The sequence below is a fragment of the Homo sapiens genome, chromosome 13, assembly GCF_000001405.40.
Source record: "Homo sapiens chromosome 13, GRCh38.p14 Primary Assembly".
Classification (NCBI taxonomy): Eukaryota; Metazoa; Chordata; class Mammalia; order Primates; family Hominidae; genus Homo; species Homo sapiens.
In genome coordinates, this window is record NC_000013.11 from 30,315,790 (window position 1) to 30,334,605 (window position 18,816).

General features: G+C 41.3%; 2 long non-coding RNA genes across 2 annotated transcripts in view; one reads left to right on the forward strand and one right to left on the reverse strand.

Annotated features, from left to right (window-relative positions):
- Positions 1 to 580: 580 nt before the first annotated feature.
- Positions 581 to 4,114, reverse strand: LINC00427 (long intergenic non-protein coding RNA 427). The gene is made up of 2 exons (NR_186618.1): positions 3,960 to 4,114; positions 581 to 845 (listed from the first exon to the last, which is right to left on the reverse strand). It is a non-coding gene; the product is annotated as a long intergenic non-protein coding RNA 427 (long non-coding RNA).
- LOC124903145 (uncharacterized) overlaps positions 1,954 to 18,816 on the forward strand; it is a 29,426-nt gene continuing 12,563 nt past the window's right edge. The window contains exon 1 of the long non-coding RNA XR_007063742.1: positions 1,954 to 3,342. This is a non-coding gene — a long non-coding RNA (uncharacterized LOC124903145). The remainder of the gene's footprint in view (positions 3,343 to 18,816) is intronic.

Genomic DNA, 18,816 nt, shown 5'->3' on the forward strand with positions numbered 1-18,816 from the left:
GCTAAATGAAAAAAAATAGGTATAAAATGACCTGTACTTATAAATGAGGATTCTTTATATCTGCAACTAAGTACCATCAGATGTCTCACTGACAGTGGATTGAATGATGAAAGTGAGATTTAAAGAACCCATTTCTTTCATCTTTTTTCTTTTTTTTTTTTTTTTTTTTTTTTGAGACAGAGTCTCACTCTGTCGCCCAGGCTGGAGTGCAGTGGCGCGATCTCGGCTCACTGCAACCTCCGCCTCCCGGGTTCACGCCATTCTCCTGCCTCAGCCTCCTGAGTAGCTGGGACTACAGGCGCCTGCCACCATGCCCTGCTAATTTTTTTGTATTTTTAATAGAGATGGGGTTTCACCGTATTAGCCAGGATGGTCTCGATCTCCTGACCTTGTGATCCGCCCGCCTCAGACTCCCAAAGCGCTGGGATTACAGACGTGAGCCACCGCGCCCGGCCTTTTTTTCTTAACTGATTCCCTATTTTCATCTCTTACGAGAGAAACCTCAGGCATTGCTCTTCTAACCCAGGTCTGCTCTCAAACAGAGAGACCCAGTGTTGAGCAAAAGAAAAGGGCTGTTCAAGTGATTTTTAATCAAGTACCCCACATGACTAATTCAGGTCCTCCAAAATAGTCCCAGGGAGCCAAAATGAGGTAATATGACATGTTGTGGACTTGAAGGGTGGTTAAGGACACATACAGCCACTGCTTCAGATGCCGCTGTGAGGCAGAAAATTCAGGAATGCAGTAGAGGAGGGGAATGTGAACCCAGAATGCACTCAGTGTCTCTCCTTCAGACGCTTTTTTGACCCTCGGAAGCCTGGTCTGCTCAGGTCAATTCTGCAACCCTGGATGTTGAATTAGTGAATAAACAAACTAGGTCAAAAACAAATGCAGACTATATTAAAAAGAATAAGATATGTTCTCCTTGTTTTGGGCTTAATTTAAAATCCTAAGAGCAGGATAACAGCATCATAAATAACATGACCTCTCTCAAACTACTGCCTTCTCCTACTAGTTATAATAATAGCAACAGCTTATATTTGTATCTATTTTTATAGTCTGTGAGACGCTTTATCTTTTTTCAGCTTATTTGAGCTCAGAGCAGCCTTGTAAAATAGGTACAAGTATTATACCCATTTTGTAGGTGAGGAAACTGAGGTTCACAGAGGTTAAACAACTGTGGATCACACAGCAACTGACTAGGACTGTTTGGGATTCTAAGGTATAATAGTGCCAATTTGTTGAAAGGGAATAGCAACAAAAAAACTTGGACTCTAACCCCAAGTCTGCCAGCTATTAAGGTGTATGATCTTGGACATGTCGTTTACCTTTTTTTTTTAAAAAAAAAAAAAAGACAGGGTCTCACTCTGTCACCCAGTTTGGAGCGCAGTGGTACGATCATAGCTCACTGCATCCTTGAACTCCTGGGCTCAAGCGATCCTTCTGCCTCAGCCTCTTGAATAGCTGGGACTACATAGATGTGTGCCAACCACACCTGGCTAATTTTTTAAATTTATTGTAGAGACGGGTCTTGCTGTGTTGCCCAGACTGGTCTTGAACTCCTAGGCTCAAGGGATCCTCCCAAAGTGCTGGGATTACAGGCATGAGCCACCAGGTTTGGCCCCATTCAACCTTCTGACCTTCATTTACTCACTTATAAAAAATGTACATAATCGGCCGGGCGCGGTAGCTCACGCCTGTAATCCCAGCACTTTGGGAGGCCGAGGCGGGCGGATCACAAGGTCAGGAGATTAAGACCATCCTGGCTAATATGGTGAAACACTGTCTCTACTAAAAGTACAAAAAAATTAGCTGGGTGTGGTGGCACATGCCTGTAGTCCCAGCTACTCGGGAGGCTGAGGCAGGAGAATCACTTGAACCCAGGAGGTGGAGGTTGTAGTGAGCCGAGATCGGGCCACTGCATTCCAGCCTGGTGACAGGGCAAGACTCCATCTCAAAAAAAAAAAAAAATGTACATAATCATACCTTCCCTCTCTGCCTCACAGGGTGCCTATGAGGACAAAAAAGGTGGTATATGTGAAAGTGCTTCATAACTGAGCTGGTAATCCATAGATGTCTGGTATTAGCAATGTTTTCTAATAAAATAATAAGAGTAATACTCGTTATAACCTCTTTGCTTTGACAGTGCCTTTCATTGCAGCCATTCAGTAATTTTGCAGCTTATTATCACCTGTATAACACCCCTGTTGCTACCATGTCTAAAGGTGCACAAGCAGCCAGCCAGTGAGGGAAGGGGAAGGTCTTTCTTCTCAGCATGTCTTTAGAGCAGTGATTCTCTAAGTTGTAGCACACTGGAATCCCCTGGGGAGCTTCACACATGCAGGTGTCTAGGTCCCACCCTGGCCAATTAAAATTTAATCTGGTGGGGAGGAACTGGGCACCAGTATTTTTTTAAAGTTTCCCAAGTGATTCTAATATGCAGCCAAGGTTGGCAACCACTGCTCTTTGGACTATTTGTACATCTCAGTGGCTGCTGAAAGTGATCACAGTTTTAAAAGAACACAGCTTGTGGTTCTGGAAAAATCCATCTGCTTTTTCCAGAAATGTAGTACGTAAGTCAAATAGGTCTGAGGTCACTTGGGAGAGAAATCCAAGAGTTGGACTGAGAGCTCAAACCACAAAGATTCTAAATGCCACCATCACTTAGATAGCTGCCCTTTTTCCTGAACTGCCACTGTTGACAGATAAGATGGTGCACACAGCGAGAATCTGAGCAGCACAGAGCCCCCCATCCCCATCACTGTTCCTCCACTAAGCTCCCCTTGAAAACATTCCACAGGACTTCCTATTCACGGTGATTAGAAAAGTGAATACCTCCTATTTTAAAAGAAAAAAATCTCAGAGGATAAGCACGTAGCCGACGAGTGGCCAATTCTGTAATTTTCCCCATGGATAATAAGGAAATAATCATACATTATTTAATAATGTATTTTTCCATTGAATTCCAATGTGTCTACAAATTATACATGTTTTATATGATGTTTCACTTTAGGGTTAAGCCAAATAAGCATACATTTATTTTATAAATATAAATATATTATCTATTAAAATAGTTTCTAGTAAAAACATAGGTTTAGCTATTTGACTCAAATTTCTTAAAGAAGCCATAGTTAGAAGAAAATATCCACTAGAGTATACTAGACTTTATGTCTTCGCAGGAGAAGTAACACTTCCTCATCTGTTTACCTCTCAACTCCCTTCTCCAACTAGAAATGAAGACACAAGATAATAAAAGGATTTGACTTTTCAGTATCCCTTTCGAACTGGGCACCACCCAGAAGAAAGATTCTGTTAACTACTCCCTTTAGAAATTATCTCAAGGTGAGTTGCATGTCTCATTTGATCACTTCTTTTACAAGACTGGAAACAATTTGTATGGAGTAAACTCCTGTTACCAGACCTGGAGGCTTAAATAATGAAGAGGTTTATCTCTCATCTGAGAAGAGTTTATAGTCCGCAGCAATAGCCTGGAGACAAATACACCTCTGGGATCCCACAAAGGCGGTAATTAGGCAGCATTTTATTGTGATGCAGTGAGTGTGCAAAGGACAGAGCTGGACTACTCTTAGGAACAAAATTGGCTTCCTGGAGAGCCGACAGAAGAAATCTGGCAACCTAAAAATATTTAAAGAGCTTACGACCCCCAAGGGAGAATTTCCAGCTATTAAAGTAGAAAAGATTAAACATTTGCTGGGCTTGAAAAGGAGATTTTTAATGGAAACACTCAGGAAAATACAGTTTAGATAGAGAATCTTAAAAAAAAAAAAAAGATCAGACCTGTCATATACAGAGCAATCAAATGGGAGACTTTATATTTTCTTCGTAATGACATAAGAAAAAGGATCTAAAAATAGATCCTACCGATAATGAACTCTTCCTTCTCCTGCGTTTATTAGAATATAACACCTTCATTACAGAGAGGACATGTTCCTACTCACCATCTCACAGGCATAAATCTTGACATGGTCTTCACACCCTTTTCCTCTGGCCCCTAATTACAATTCTGCTATTTATTTCTCAACACAGCCTACATTTCGTGTGTTTCTCGTATGAATGAGTTGCAGTGTGTGCTGTGGTTAAGCTGGTGGGCACCAGGCCCAGCTCCCTCAAGTTTGGCTTTCTGACCTTGCCAATGACTTCACCCTTTGTGCCTTAGTTTCCGTGGCTATAGAATGGGGATAATAATAGCACCAGTCTCTGTGTGTTGTCAGGAGGATTAAGGCACAGCATAGCACTGAGGAAAGTGCACAACACTCAGTAAAAACACAATAAATGTTCATCATTATTGTCACTACTCTGCATTCCCTTAGTGCCTATAAAAATAGCATATTTTTAAAATAAAAAAAACAAGATACATGGTCTAACAAAAGATTGTTTTCAGATTCATGGATTTATGTGGAAAGTCTCAAGACATTTAGTTATACATTAAGGTATCTTTTTTATTACTGTAATTACTTAACAATCCTAAAATCCAAGAAGTATTCCACAGCATGGTCCCTGACCTTCAAGCAGTTTATATTCCACTTGAGAGACAGAACATATGCCCATGAACTATTAAACACAAATCCAAAGCAGTTCATGATTATGTATAAAACGAGTAGTTCAGAAGGTGAGAACTAGAAAAATGGGGAGAGGGAATTCTGAGGGAATCAAGTCTCCATTGTGTGCATGAAGTTGATAGAGAACTTCATTTGGACCATGAAATAAAGGTAAGGAAAATGAAGGGATTTTCCAGCAGGCAGGAAGACATGAAGGTAAGAGCAAGTCAACAGAGCCGTTCATCTGCCGCAGGTGATTTGCCTCTGAAATTAGGTGACATCGGTGGATGAGGCACAGGTTATGCAGTTGAGGGGTTCAAATGCCAGAGGGAAGATTCTGACTTCACCCTGAGAGTCTCTGAAGTTTTGTTAGTTGGAAAGTGGCATAAACACAGATGCAATATAGGTTTATATGGGGAGAGACAGGAGTCAAGGAGAAACGCTGATGGTTTTTAATAATAATCTAGGTATAACTCAGACGGGGCCTACCAGGGTGGGGACATTGGGAACATAAAGGAAGTGACAGACAGCCGTGAAAGCATGACAAAGACTCATCCCCTTCGCTCCATTCTCACAGCCCAAATCCTCCCAGAGCAGCCTTTGCTATCTGAGCACACCAAGCCAAGTTCAGGAGCACCAGATGCCAGATGCACCTCCAAGGTTTTCCAAGGTCCTTGTGGACAGTCTCATCCTGATTTCCATTTACTCCCACTTGCCTTTCTATCATGTGTACCCGATAGATTCCAAAAATAGAAAATCATATGTCTCCCTCCTTCTAAAAGCATGTAGTATTTTCCAGTTGTGTAGGCTTTCTAAAAATATTTTTACTCATATTGATGAATAATTTTAAATTAATAAGTCATTAGTAATTTAGTAGTTTTAAAAGTTAGACTGGTGTACACTTTAAATGGGTGCAACTTATTGTACCTAAATCAGTCCTCAGTAAAGTTCATGAGAAAAATAAATAGGTTTAATGGTTGAGGATACAGAGAGGTGGCAATTATTTGAAAGTCAAGTTAAAGAAGCTCAATTAGCCAGTTACCTTTGTCCCCAGGCATTAACTACTGTGGTTTGGAAGTTCATGTGTCATTTGTTATATGCGTGATAACATATACTGTGTCACGGGATTGTTTCTTATGCAAGATTAACAAAATGTGATACCCAGAACAACCAAGTTCTATCTCTATGAGGACGGGGACTTGAAACTACATTTAACTGCATTTACTTGGCACCTCATTGGAGTAGCCTTGGATAGTAGCTCAAAGTGATGATTAGTCTAGATAACCTCTTAAAATGCCTTTCAACTCAGCAAGTAACATATGGATTAGTGTTCTCTAATCCATATGTTTAGAGTTTAATAATGGAGATAGCAGCACGTAGAGAAATGTGATTCAAAGAGTGGTCTCCGGATTGGCAGCCTGGGCGTCACCTGGGAGCCTGTGTTAGACATTCTTGAGCTTCACCTGCCTCCTCCCAAATCAGTGGGGATGGGGCTAGGAATCTAGCAATTGTGTTTTATATCGGCAACGGGGAAGCTCTGTGTGTGTGCACGCCTGTGTGTGAGCCGTAGTCCACATCGGGTGGGAAGCAGAAACATAATGAAGAGTCACATGGCTAAAAATAAGATAGATTTAGTTGATTTTTATAGTAATAGGTATGGAATATTCCTCTAATTATTTTTAGATTTTAGACTTACTATTTCCAGTCAAAATTCAACATCAGTTAAATATATACCATAAGTACTATCTTACAGTAATTCCCAGGAAAGGAAGAAAGAAGATAAAGAGAAGGTAGTGAAAAAGAGTGGGAAGAATTAATTTAATTCACATATTGGTCTAAGCACTCAGAAACAAATATGTTGCTATATGATTAGTACTGCTGTCATTTGGGGGAGCGAGAGTACCCTTTAAATTAAAAATGGTTCCAACAGACTTATCTACTTTTTTTTTTTTTTCTTTTTGAGACGGAGTCTCTCCCTGATACCCAGGCTGGAATGCAGTGGGGCAATCTCAGCTCACTGCAACCTCCGCCTCCCAGGTTCAAGCAGTTCTCCCTGCCTCAGCCTCCCGAGTAGCTGGGATTATAGGCGCTTGCCACCATGCCCAGTTAATTTTTGTATTTTTAGTAGAGGTGGGGTTTCACCATGTTGGCCAGGCTGGTCTTGAACTCCTGACCTCAGGTGATCCTCCCACCTTGGCCTCTCAAAGTGCTTGGATAACAGGCGTGAGCCACCACGCCCAGCCCTTATCTACATTTTTTTTAAGCACACATATTTCTGAGATGCTTTTGTTCCTGGAATCTAATCCCAGCAGTTAGTCTAACCTCCCACACATTGCAGGAACCCCTCCCTGGTCATCGTCTCTGGATGGAGTCACACAGCCTCTGCTTCGGCATCTGTCTTGTATGCTGCCTTACAAACCTTACAGCTGCCCTCACGCTTTGCACCTGTGAATGTGGACTCTCCTTCTTCGGGTGCCTTGCTCTGCATGGTTCAGTGCCTTCGCTGTGCTCTTCTACCTGAAATCTCCTGCCTCTACTTGTCTACCAGGAAAACCCTAACCGACCACCAAGCCTCAGCTCAAATGCTGTGTCCTATGGAAGTTCCTCTAGGCAGATTTAGTGGCTGCTTCTGCTGGACCTCCCATAGACACACACACACCTTTGTCCACACATCCATTATAACCACTATCTTTTCTCATTGCATATGCTTATTATGTTCAAATTCATCTCCCCACTAGACTAAGTCCCTTGAGGCCAGGAATGATGTCTTACCTTTGCATTCTCAGCAGCTAGTCTATTGCCCAGTAATAAAGTATTACTTAATGAATACATCAAATGAATGTATGAATAAATGATACCTAAACAAAGTTCTACAGGAGCCTAGAAATGGGAGCTATAACCGGTGACTGGCCACACTGAAGAAGCAGCATTTGACCTTGTATTGAAGAACAAGTTTGATTTTGCTTGGCAGAAAAAAAAAAAGGAGAGGACTATAAGCAGAAGAATAACAAGAACAAAGGCATAGGAGTGGGCAAATCCGTGGTCTTCTCAGAGAGCACCTCATGTTACAGGTCCAGTGGAAGACAGACATGAAAGAGGAAGTTTGGACCAGAATAATGTATGTGCTAAGGAGCTGTGGGCCTTATTCTGGACATAATAAAGAACCATGAAAAAATTTTGAATAGGGAAAAGTCATGACCAGATACATGACTTGATTGGAGGTTGGTTAGAAGGAAATTGCTATGATCTGGGCAATTGAAGTAAGTGAAAGCCTGATAGAGTTGCAGCAGCAGTAGGAGGAGGGAAACCAAGTAAATTTGAGAAGCATTTTGGAAATAGGATCAAGATGACTTGGCAACCAATTGAATATGGGAAGTGAGGAACCAGTGAAGCTGAAGCTTGGCCAAGCTTTCTGACCTGGCAACTGAGTGAACACTCAGACAACACCACCTACAACTATATCGTCTTTACAGGCAGATTGGAAGCTCTGAGAGAGTAAGGCCCTTGCTCTTGGTGTATCCTCTACATCTCTTGTAGCTCCTAACACTGACCGTGCATTCAGAGGTTCCTAGTAAACATTTGTTGAAAGAATTGATGATGTTTCTTATACTCACCAAATATGTCAAAAAGGAAAATATAATACAATGTCTTTTCTTCAGAGACATTTTCAAATTCTCAGCATGTTTTTCCACCACAAATGAATTCACAACTATCTCATTCAACTTGTACATCCACAAAAGTGACCCATTGTTGCACAAACTGAAATCTCCTTTAAGATTGTGTGTGTGCTGGGGAGGACAGTCAAACGGTTGGTATTTTTACTTTTTTTTTTTTTTTTTTTGGAGAGAGGGCTATGATATTTTTGGTCCTCTGAAAATGAATCCAAAACAATAAAACAAGCTGAATGTTTTCCTCTAGTGGAAAGAAAGAAAGCAAACCTACTACAGGTAAATTGAAATCTTCAAACAGACCCATAACACACTGCTGAGACATTCTTGAGATGATGGCTTTAGTTAGACTGGGGCCACACATCTTTACATTTCTTCATTCACCTGGCAGGACTAATGAGATTTTATGGCGGGCAAGCTGTTTATCCCTTGGGTGACATTGGCAAGCACATCTATATCTTTATCAATCAAGGGTTTTCTGCACTGCAACTCCCACCCCCAACCTAAAGATTGCCCCAGCCTGGATCACAACATTTACAACACGTAAGAACCTCATTCCTTTTCATCAACACTCCACCCATCACTTTCTGTTACCTAGATCTAATCATGTGTGTCCTAACATCACATTGCTCCATAACAAGGGGCAGGAAGAAGAAATGAATAAAAGGAAAAGAAAAAAAGGTTTCGATGGTACCTGCAAGTTGATGCAGAGCTGACAGCTCCATGGCTAGAATATTATATTTGCCCAATAGAACAATAGGTCTGCTGGCAAGCTGTTACCTACAGTACTGTATCTGCTGAACAGGTGGAAAAAGCTCTCTTCCCCTCTGCAGTGGTTTAGGAACATGAGGAGGTGACCACCACTCCAGTTTGGAAACAAGGATTTGGTTCCCCTTTGTAGCTTTCATATTGCCTGAATTCACCTGCAATGTCTATTTTCAGTACTTAATAAATACTCATATACACATGAACATACAAACTCACATATTTAACAATTGCCATCATAAACTCTCAGGATGATGTATCCATTCTACCTTTGCAACCTGGAAAATGTCCCCAGATCTCAGACCAAGGAGATACTGGGGAAATGGCTCTGCAAAAATCCAGGAACAGGTTTTGGTTCTGGTTCTCCCATAGAATATATCTATAACACCTGGACAGAATGCTTGGTGCAGCTGCTTGAGAACTCTTGAAAAAGTAAACAGTAGCAGGTAGATTGTGGGAGAAAACCAGAATTCAAAAGTATCACCAATTGACTGTGGATTTACCATGTTTACCCTCTGTATTCCCTGGACAGGACTCAAGGCAGCCTTTGTGACAGGGAGGGTTCCAGCATAAACCTTCTAGTTCAGACTCAAGGTGAGAGAAGAGTCTTCTGGCAGTGGCAGCCACAGCATGGAAGGCCCACAGCACAGAATATGCTGTCGAAGCGGGACCTTCCTCTTCAGTCAAAGGAATCATGGTCCCAAGACCATGCTTTTTCTTTTCTCTGGGCTCCCACCACTTGGTCCTGGACAGGGCAGAGTCACAGTGAGTGCACAGAAGAGCAGGGTGATAAGGCTCCAGTTTTCTGGATGGATAGCCAAAAAGGTGAATCCTGGGAAACTGGAAAGTGCCAGGGAGATGGTAGAGAGAAAGGAGCTTGGGAAAACGAACCCAGACAGTTATTTGCTGGCTTGTGGGCACACCCTTGAGCTGTGCATTCTTGGATTTGATCACAAACATCATAACAGAGACTTTGAGAACTGAATTAACAGCTACATCGCTATCTAGGTCCCATCCTGACCATGAAATAATAGGCACCCAGGAGAAACGTGAACAGGACCACAGTGACTTTGAAAATAGAACTGACATTGCAACCACAACCACAGAAAGCTGATCAGAACTTGCAGTCTAAACCAATTGTGTCAATTGCCTGCTAAAAAAACATAAGTAAATGAACAAACCTGTACAGATTGAAACAAGACCTAGTGTCTCATAATATAATATTCAAAATGCTCATGATATGCTTCAAAACTAGTCGCCATGTGAACCAGGAAAATCTCAACTCATGAGAGAAAAGACAATCAATGGATGTCAATATGAAGAAAACACAAATGTGATAGTTATTTGACAAGAAATTAAAGCGACTTTTATAAAAGTGCTCTAAGAAGTAAGAACCAACACTCTAGAAAGCTTTAGCAAAGAGAATAAAGATTGAGAAAAGTAAAAATTAAAAAAAAAATTAAAAACCACCCAGAACTTCAGGGTCCTGTGAAACAATTCCCCAAAAGCCTAATATTTGTGTCATCAGAGCTCCAAAAGGACAGGAAAAAGTGTGGTACAGAAAAATACTCAAAAAATAAAGACTGGAAACTTCCCAAATTTGGCAAAAAGCACAAACCTATAGAAATTCAGTGAACTCCAAACAGGACAAACCCAGAGGAACCTATGCCCAAACATTCTAATGAAACTGCTAAGAACTAAAACCAGCCCCGAAAATATTAAAACAGTCAGAGAAAACCAACACACTATTTATAGAGGAACAATTAAATGACTGTGGAATTCTCATCTAAAACAATTGGAGGCAAGATGATAAAATGCTGAAAGAAAAAAAATTGTCACCCTAGAATTCTATATTCTAAGAAAATATCCTTCAGGAATGAAGGTGGAATAAGAACATTATCAGATACATGAAAAATAAGAGAATTTTTGGCAGCAGTCGTGCTGTAGAAGAATTACTAAAGAAAGATCTACAGACAGTTACCTCGTGTGAAAGAAACTAGACTCAAAAGGTTATGTACTGTAATGATTTCATTTATATAGCAATTTCAAAAATAAAAATTTGGCAACAGAGAATAGATCAGTGGTTGCTAGGGTTCGGGGTGGGATGAGGGTGTGATTAAAATGGGACAGCATGAAGACATTTTGGTGTGATGAAGCTGTTCTGCAACCTGATTCTCTACACTCATTAAAAGGCGTAGAATTCTACACACACCCAAGGTCAATCTTGCTGCATGTTAATTTTTTTTAGGCCAATAAACAAGAGATGTTCCTCTCTAAGAACCTTCTAGTCTAAATAATACTGAATAATACTTCACCACCTTCCTTGGACACCTGCTTGTGAAGGTCATTGACAAGGCCAATGCCCGGTTGTTTCTGCTGCCCTTGAGTGTGCAGCTCACAGCTGAATTTACCCTCCCCACCTGCCCCACTGCCAGTTCAAGCTCAGAAAATATCACACGTTTGAGCTGAACAATGAATAAGAAGTCAGGAGGCATTTTGTGGGACTGCCCTCTTCTACAAAATCTATAAAGCTCACCTCCCTTCGCCCCTCCTGAGAAACAAGATAAGAAAAAAAACCATTGAACTTATGAAGATCAGGACTTATATATCTAGGTGTCACCTCATCATTGGAGCACCCACTTCTGTGTTTCCTTCCTAGCTGCTGCACCCCAAAATGTGCAGCAAAGCCCCAGCAGGCCCTGGAGCCCCTACCTGCTGCACTACCCTACCACTCCACTGATGTCTAGAGTATTTCTCTTGCAGCAGATATCCTTTTGGTCAAAGTAATAATTGTCCTTTTGTATCAGGTGGTTGGTATTCTTATTTTCGCCTTTGGCAGACCCATAGGAGGAAAAGAGAATCGCATGTTTGCAGGAGAAGGGATAAAATAAAAATAAGACCTTAGGCATTGCTCTAATACTGCAGTTCTGCATTGTTTAAAAACCGTGTTTGTGGCTGGGCGCGGTGGCTCATGCCTGTAATCCCCGCACTTTGGGAGGCCAAGGCGGGAGGATCATGAGGTCAGGAGATCGAGACCATCCTGGCTAACATGATGAAACCCCATCTTTACTCAAAATACACAAAAAATTAGCCAGGCATGGTGGCAGGCACCTGTAGTCACAGCTACTCAGGAGGCTGAGGCAGGAGAATGGCATGAACCTGGGAGGCTGGAGCTTGCAGTGAGCCGAGATCACGCCTCTCCAGCCTGGGCAACAGAGAGAGACTCCATCTCAAAAAAAAAAGCAAAACTGTGTTTGTGTGACTCTTTCCCCCTTAAGGCAGGCATTATGCCTTACTCAGTTTTGTGTCTCCAGGGAACTGCACAGTGATAGACATGTGGAGGCACTCATAGAGATATAGGTTGTAAGTAAGTGAATGCATGCACCCATGGCTGAATAAATGAACCGTGTGACTGATACAATTCTGCAAATACAGCAGATGCCCAAGTGGGTCTCTTAGCTCTGACAGCAGGCAAAGGTGGTGGTGATCCAGTGGCCTAGAGAGGGCAGGGTGCCAATGGAGGGCTCCAGTCTGGTAACAGGAAGGCAGGAGAATTGGGCCACAGCAGGCACCTCATCCCCCTGCCCCCCTGCCCCATGGATTGGCACGAGCAGTCCATCTCTAGGCTGAGCAGAAGGAAGGAAATCACAGCAGAAAACATAGTCCTGGTGAGATGCTCTAAAGTCAATATTCGAACGAAAACATCACTCCTCTACAGTGTTTCCTGTTCCATGAGATGCTCCTTCAAATAATGTCCCCTCCTCAAACACGTTTAAAAAACACTCTAGGCTGTGTCTCCTTCTTAAAGATGCACAATACATATTTGCTTATTAAATCCTCTGGAAAGCCGCAGAGTAAAGAAATGTTTAATTTTTTAATATATAGTTGAGGTAGAATGAACATATGCACAGGTCTTGTATTCAACTCAATAATATTTGAGAGTTTAATGCTCAGTTTACTGCTACCCAAAACAAGATGTAGAATATTTCCATCACCCCAGAAAGTTTCTCCATGCCCGATTCCAGCCAACCCACTGTCCGCACTCAGAGACAACCACTGTCTTACCGCTCATCAGCATCATCTGCCTTTGCTTGTTCTTGGACTATGCCACATGTATTTTTGTGTGGCTTGCTTCTTTTGCTCAGTGTGAAGATATTTTAGTTGTGTCAATGCTGTTGTGTATATTAGTAGTTCTTTTTTTCATTGTTGAGTTGTATTGCATTGTGTATGTAAATAAGTGTGATAGATTATATACATCTATATTGTAATATATAGAGAGATTATATATATATATATATATACACACATATCTCATAATTTGTTTATCCATTATCCTGTTGATGGATATTTGGGTGGTTTCCAAGTTTTGACTATAATGAGTAAGGCTGGTATGAACATTCTTATGTAAGTCTTTTTGTAGACATATGTTTTCATTTTTCTTGGGTAAACATGTAGAAGTGAAATTGCTGGACCATAGGGTATATATGTTCAATGTTATAAAAACTGCCAAACAGCTCTCCAAAGTGGTTGCACCTGTTTAACTTTTTAAACTTAGTATTTCCTTTGTTCATTTGACCACAGAGCCCCACAGATCTGTAAAATGAGCAGGTTGGACCAGACAGCTTTTAAGATTCTTTCCAGCTTTATGCAGTGATAGAGGCCAAGGCATTCAGGAGTGGAGTTGATCAAGGTCAGGATTTGTCTTCTTTCATAAATCGTGTAGGCAAGAGCAAATGACACGAAACCCAGAATAACCAAATGTTGGGAGTAGGAAGATAGAAAACATTGCTGAGTCCAGGGAGTGGAGAAGAGGTAATAACTAGCAGGTAGTCACCTGGACAGAGGCATGAAAGAGGAAATATTTAAGCCAGAAGGAATCTGAGGTAGAAACAATTAAAGCAGAAACCACGGTATACAGAAGACTCCGGCAGTGTTTAAGAAGTTTCTTTGGCCCAGGGGCATCAATAATGATAAGACATTCAGAAAACTCTTCAAGACCACTGTTTTCAAAAAAGGGGGAGTTGCAGAGAGGATTTGGGGCACAACTGAAAATAAGGTACAGTAAAACTATTCATTTTCATTCAATTTATTAGGAATTTAAGTTTTAAATGACATATTACTGTTGGGATATAATTATCTGTGGATCTCTTGCATTTCTGTATTTTTTTTGTTTTTGTTTTTGTTTTTGTTTTTGTTTTTGTTTTTGTTTTGAGGGAGGGTCTTGCTCTATCACTCAGGCTGGAGTGTAGTGGCGAGATCTCGGCTCAGGGAAACTTCCACCTTCCCGGTTCAAGCGATCCTCCCACCTCAGCCTCCTGAGTAGCTGGGATTACAGGCACGCACCACCATGCCCTGCTAAATTTTGTATTGTTTGTTTGTTTGTTTTAGTAGAGACTGGGTTTCACCATGTTGCCCAGGCTGTTCTTGAACTCATGGGCTCAAGTGATCCACCTGCCTCAGCCTCCCAAAGTGCTGAGATTACAGGTGTGAGCCACCATGCCGGGCTGCATTTCTGTATATTTTGAGTAGAAACACTGCCTGTCCTTTGCTCTGGCCTATCTTTTGAAGGATGTTTCTGTAGTGAACAAACTTGAAAACAGAGATCATATGTACCTTGGGAGCAAAGGGTAGGTTTGCCTACATCCTTGGAAGATAGAGATAATAAGTAATCCTGAAATCAAGGGCGTGCATGCTTACTGCCCTTTGTTCAGGTCCCCTAAGCTCAGAATTCCTGTCCTAAAATGCAACCCACTGCATTTGCATGTATAATCTGACCCTCTTCAATCACTCTTTTGAGACGTGGGGAGCCAGTATAAATTCTTTTTTTTTTTTTTTTTTGAGACGGAGTCTCGCTCTGTCGCCCCGGCTGGAGTGCAGTGGCGGGATCTCGGCTCACTGCAAGCTCCGCCTCCCGGGTTCACGCCATTCTCCTGCCTCAGCCTCCCAAGTAGCTGGGACTACAGGCGTCCGCCACTACGCCCGGCTAATTTTTTGTATTTTTAGTAGAGACGGGGTTTCACCGTTTTAGCCGGGATGGTCTCGATCTCCTGACCTCGTGATCCGCCCGCCTCGGCCTCCCAAAGTGCTGGGATTACAGGCGTGAGCCACCGCGCCCGGCCGCCAGTATAAATTCTTTAAAGCACGCTGACAGTTTATCTACTGCTATGGCTGCAGATAATAAACCATCTCCCTGACTCAACAGTCTCACGTCTTTTCCCACTATCCATGAAACTAACTTGGAATAGCTAACTTGTTAGCTTGCAAGTGGGGTAAAATCTCAACCCCTTCAAAGTTCTTGACAATTACATATGAATTCTTGAATAAAAGCAAAAGTTCTTCCTTCACACAATTCCAAAGTCTAATTTGTCAACAAAAGGAATTCTAAAATCAGGAGGTTTCTTTTTTAAAACAGAGGTTCAAGAAATTAAAGATTTCTCAACATGTTGTTCATTTTTAAACCTAACAGCTCTGGAGCAAGTATTTTCCTGCACTTTTTCAAAAGTTATTGTGCTTGTCCCAAAAAGATACTCCCTTTATTCCAGGAACCGACACAATAAAACATCTCTCAGATGCTTGGAGGATCAAACTCAGTCTCAGTTGCTGAGATCACTAGTACGGCCCAAGGGCATGGGCCTTCTGTGCTTCTTCAATTTCAAAGGTTGGCTGGCTCACTGCCCCAGCCCGCCCCATGGAAACCCTGAGCAAGGCACATCTCCTGCGTGGTTTCTGAAAGGCAGAAGATAAATGTCTATCCACAGCGAAAACAGTAGAAGAGCCCTTCAGCACATCTCTGGCCAGAAAGCTGAGGGTTGGTGGCAGGGCGCCCACACATTCAACTTGCCAGTAACAGTCCAGGGTCTTGTTGTTCTGCATTTGCACAGAAATTTAGACAGTCATGGAAGTCAAAGAATGCAGATGACACTGTAGTTCCAACCCCACAGCCCATGTGTCACCTCCTTTGTTTCAGTCACTTCATGGATGTCATCTTTTGAAAATGATCTAAGTCACATGAAGGCTTCCCAGCCACTCCTAGCTTCACATAATTGTATCCTTTTCTAAAATCCTGACCTTCCCTTAACCCATTTCTCTGCAGTGCCAGCATCTCACCAGTCTCCGAAAAGCAATCCCCTTTCTATTCTGAATCAGTGATCCTCTTCTTCATCAGAACTGATTCTTACCTTCAACCATTAAATCAGATGATTTCTTGAGATTCCTTCCAGATACAGTATCAGTCAATGTCCCCCACTCACTTATTCACTCTCCTTAGAATACATATATATTCAGAAAAAAAAAATGACATTGATCCTATCTATCTTCCCTCCTCTTCAAATACAGGTTCCTAAAGTGTCCAGTTTACAAGTCAATTCACTGCTGGATAATTTAATATGTGGCTTACTCTCTATATGCCATAGAGGCAGTGTGCTTAATAAGGTCCCTAAAGACCTCATTTTCAATGCATTGAGCATCTCCCCTCTCTCCTCCTCATTCTCTCTTATCCTAAGGGTGTGTGTGTGTGTGTGCATTGCACACGGTATTGTCTCAATTGTGTCCCCCCAACAATTCATGTTGCATCCCTAATCCCCAAGGTGACTGTATTTGGAGATAGGGCCTTTAAGGTGGTAACTAAGTTTAAATGAGATCATAAGGGTGGGGCCCGAATCCCACAGGACTGGTGTCCTTAGGAGAAGGGACACCAGAGAGCTGTCTTTCTCTGCACATGTGAGCACACACACAGAGGAAAGGCCATGTGAGGACAAGGCGAGAAGGCACCGTCAGGCAAGCCAGGAAGAGAGGCCTCACCAGAAACAAAATTTACTGGCACCTTGATATTGGACTTCTAGTCTACAGAACAGTGAGAAAATAAATTTCTGTTGTTTTAAGCCACCTGGTCAGTGATATTTTTTATGACAGCGAGAGCTGACTAATGCAGCGTGCATGCCCTTTATTGGTTCTTAACCTTTTTATGCCTAGTAAACTATTAAAAGGTAGTAAGCCTAGCAGACTGCATACAATATGCATTCTATTCTGTGTAGTATAGTCTACATAGTATGCAAAGCACACATAACATATTAGATAATTATAGAATGACAGGGCTAGAAGGAAAGGTCACTGTTAACAGCAGAGTGCAGGCTATTTGCAGAAAAAAGGAACAGAGAGCAAATGCATGAGTTGTCTTATTTATATTTCAAATAAGCTCTTCTTTCAGCTAACATGCTTATACCTTGTTTACTCACCATTAGTAGCCATTGATAAATATAACCATTTTAAATTTACATGCACAATTACATTTTGCAAAAAGGTCAACCTTAGTATTTTCATACAGTACCACCTGGTGTGGAGGAGGAAAGTGTGACTTAAGCTAATGTTTAATGCAAAAAGAGGGATGATTCATTAATGGCTCTTATTTCATGTTTCGGACATTGATTGGAGATTTTTGCTTAAGAACCAACCATTTTGAGGCAATTGGGAAAGTTTGAACATGGGTTCAGTCTTAAATAATATTAAAGAATTATTAATTTTGTTAGGTATGATAATGATATTGAGGTTATGAAAGAAAATGGAGAAACAGAACTACTTAGTGGAAAAGAAGAAAGAGGAAGAGAGGAAGAAAAAGAAAAAGGAAGAGGAGAAAAAAGGTGTAACTATAGCAAAATGTTGAGAACTTAAATGGGGGAAGAGCCCATGAGGTTTATTATATGATGTGTGTCTACTTTTGTGTAAGTTTGAAAATCTTCAATATCAACTGCTTTTAGCCAGGTACAGTGGTGCAAACCTGTAGTCCCAGCTACTCGGGAGGCTGAGGTGGGTGGATCACTTGAGCCCGGGGGTTTGAGACCAGCCTGACAACATAATGAGATCCTAACTCTGTCAGAAAAAATAAACAAACAAAAACGGCAAATATTCACTGAATGTCTGAAGCAGGAGTCCATCAGCTGCCTGCCATCAAGGGTAGATGGAAGGTTTGTGAGGCCTCAAGCTTTTACCATTTGGGGAGCCCTCCTTCAGAAAAATGATGAATGCACAATTCCCTTGGGAGGGGCCTGCTCTGGTGACAGGCTCACACACTTGCATTTCATCAGTTCCATAGTAAATCCACCTCTGTCAGCCATGGGTATGGCTTGGTTAGCCCAGTGATTCTTCCTTTTTCAGCTTTTTCTTTTCTTTTTATTATGAACATTTCAAACATAACCAAAAGTTAGAGCGTTTAAGACAATGATCTTTTATGCGTCTGTCATCCAGCTTCCACAACCATGAGTCCTTGGCTAGCTAGTCTTAATTCATCTGTAATGAATTAACCAGCCATTCCCCTCCATCCATACTGTGTTATTTTAAAGCAAATCCCTAATATCATTTTATCTCTAAAATATTTCAGTATGCATCCTTAAAAGATAAGGACTCTTTCAAAAAACATATCACAATATCATTATGACACCTAAAAAAAAACATAATTTCTCAGTCAGGCCAGTGTTTAAAATATATATTAGATTGTCCAGGAGTGAATTGACTTGTAAACTGGACACTTTAGGAACTTATATTTGAAGAGGAGTGGAGATAGATAAGGTCAATGTCCGTTTTTAAATTTCTTTAATTGCCTCAAATATTTTTCTACAGTTTGTTCAGATCAGGAACCAAATAAAATATATATCACAACTGGTTGATATCTCTGTTAAACATCTTTTAATCTATGGGCTTGTCTTCCACATTTGTTAGATTCCTGGCAATGTATTTGTTGAGGAAACTGGGTCATTTTGTCCTGTAGGGTTTCCCACAGTCTGGTTCTTGCTAATTGCATTTCTGTGGTATCATTTAACATGTTCCTCTCC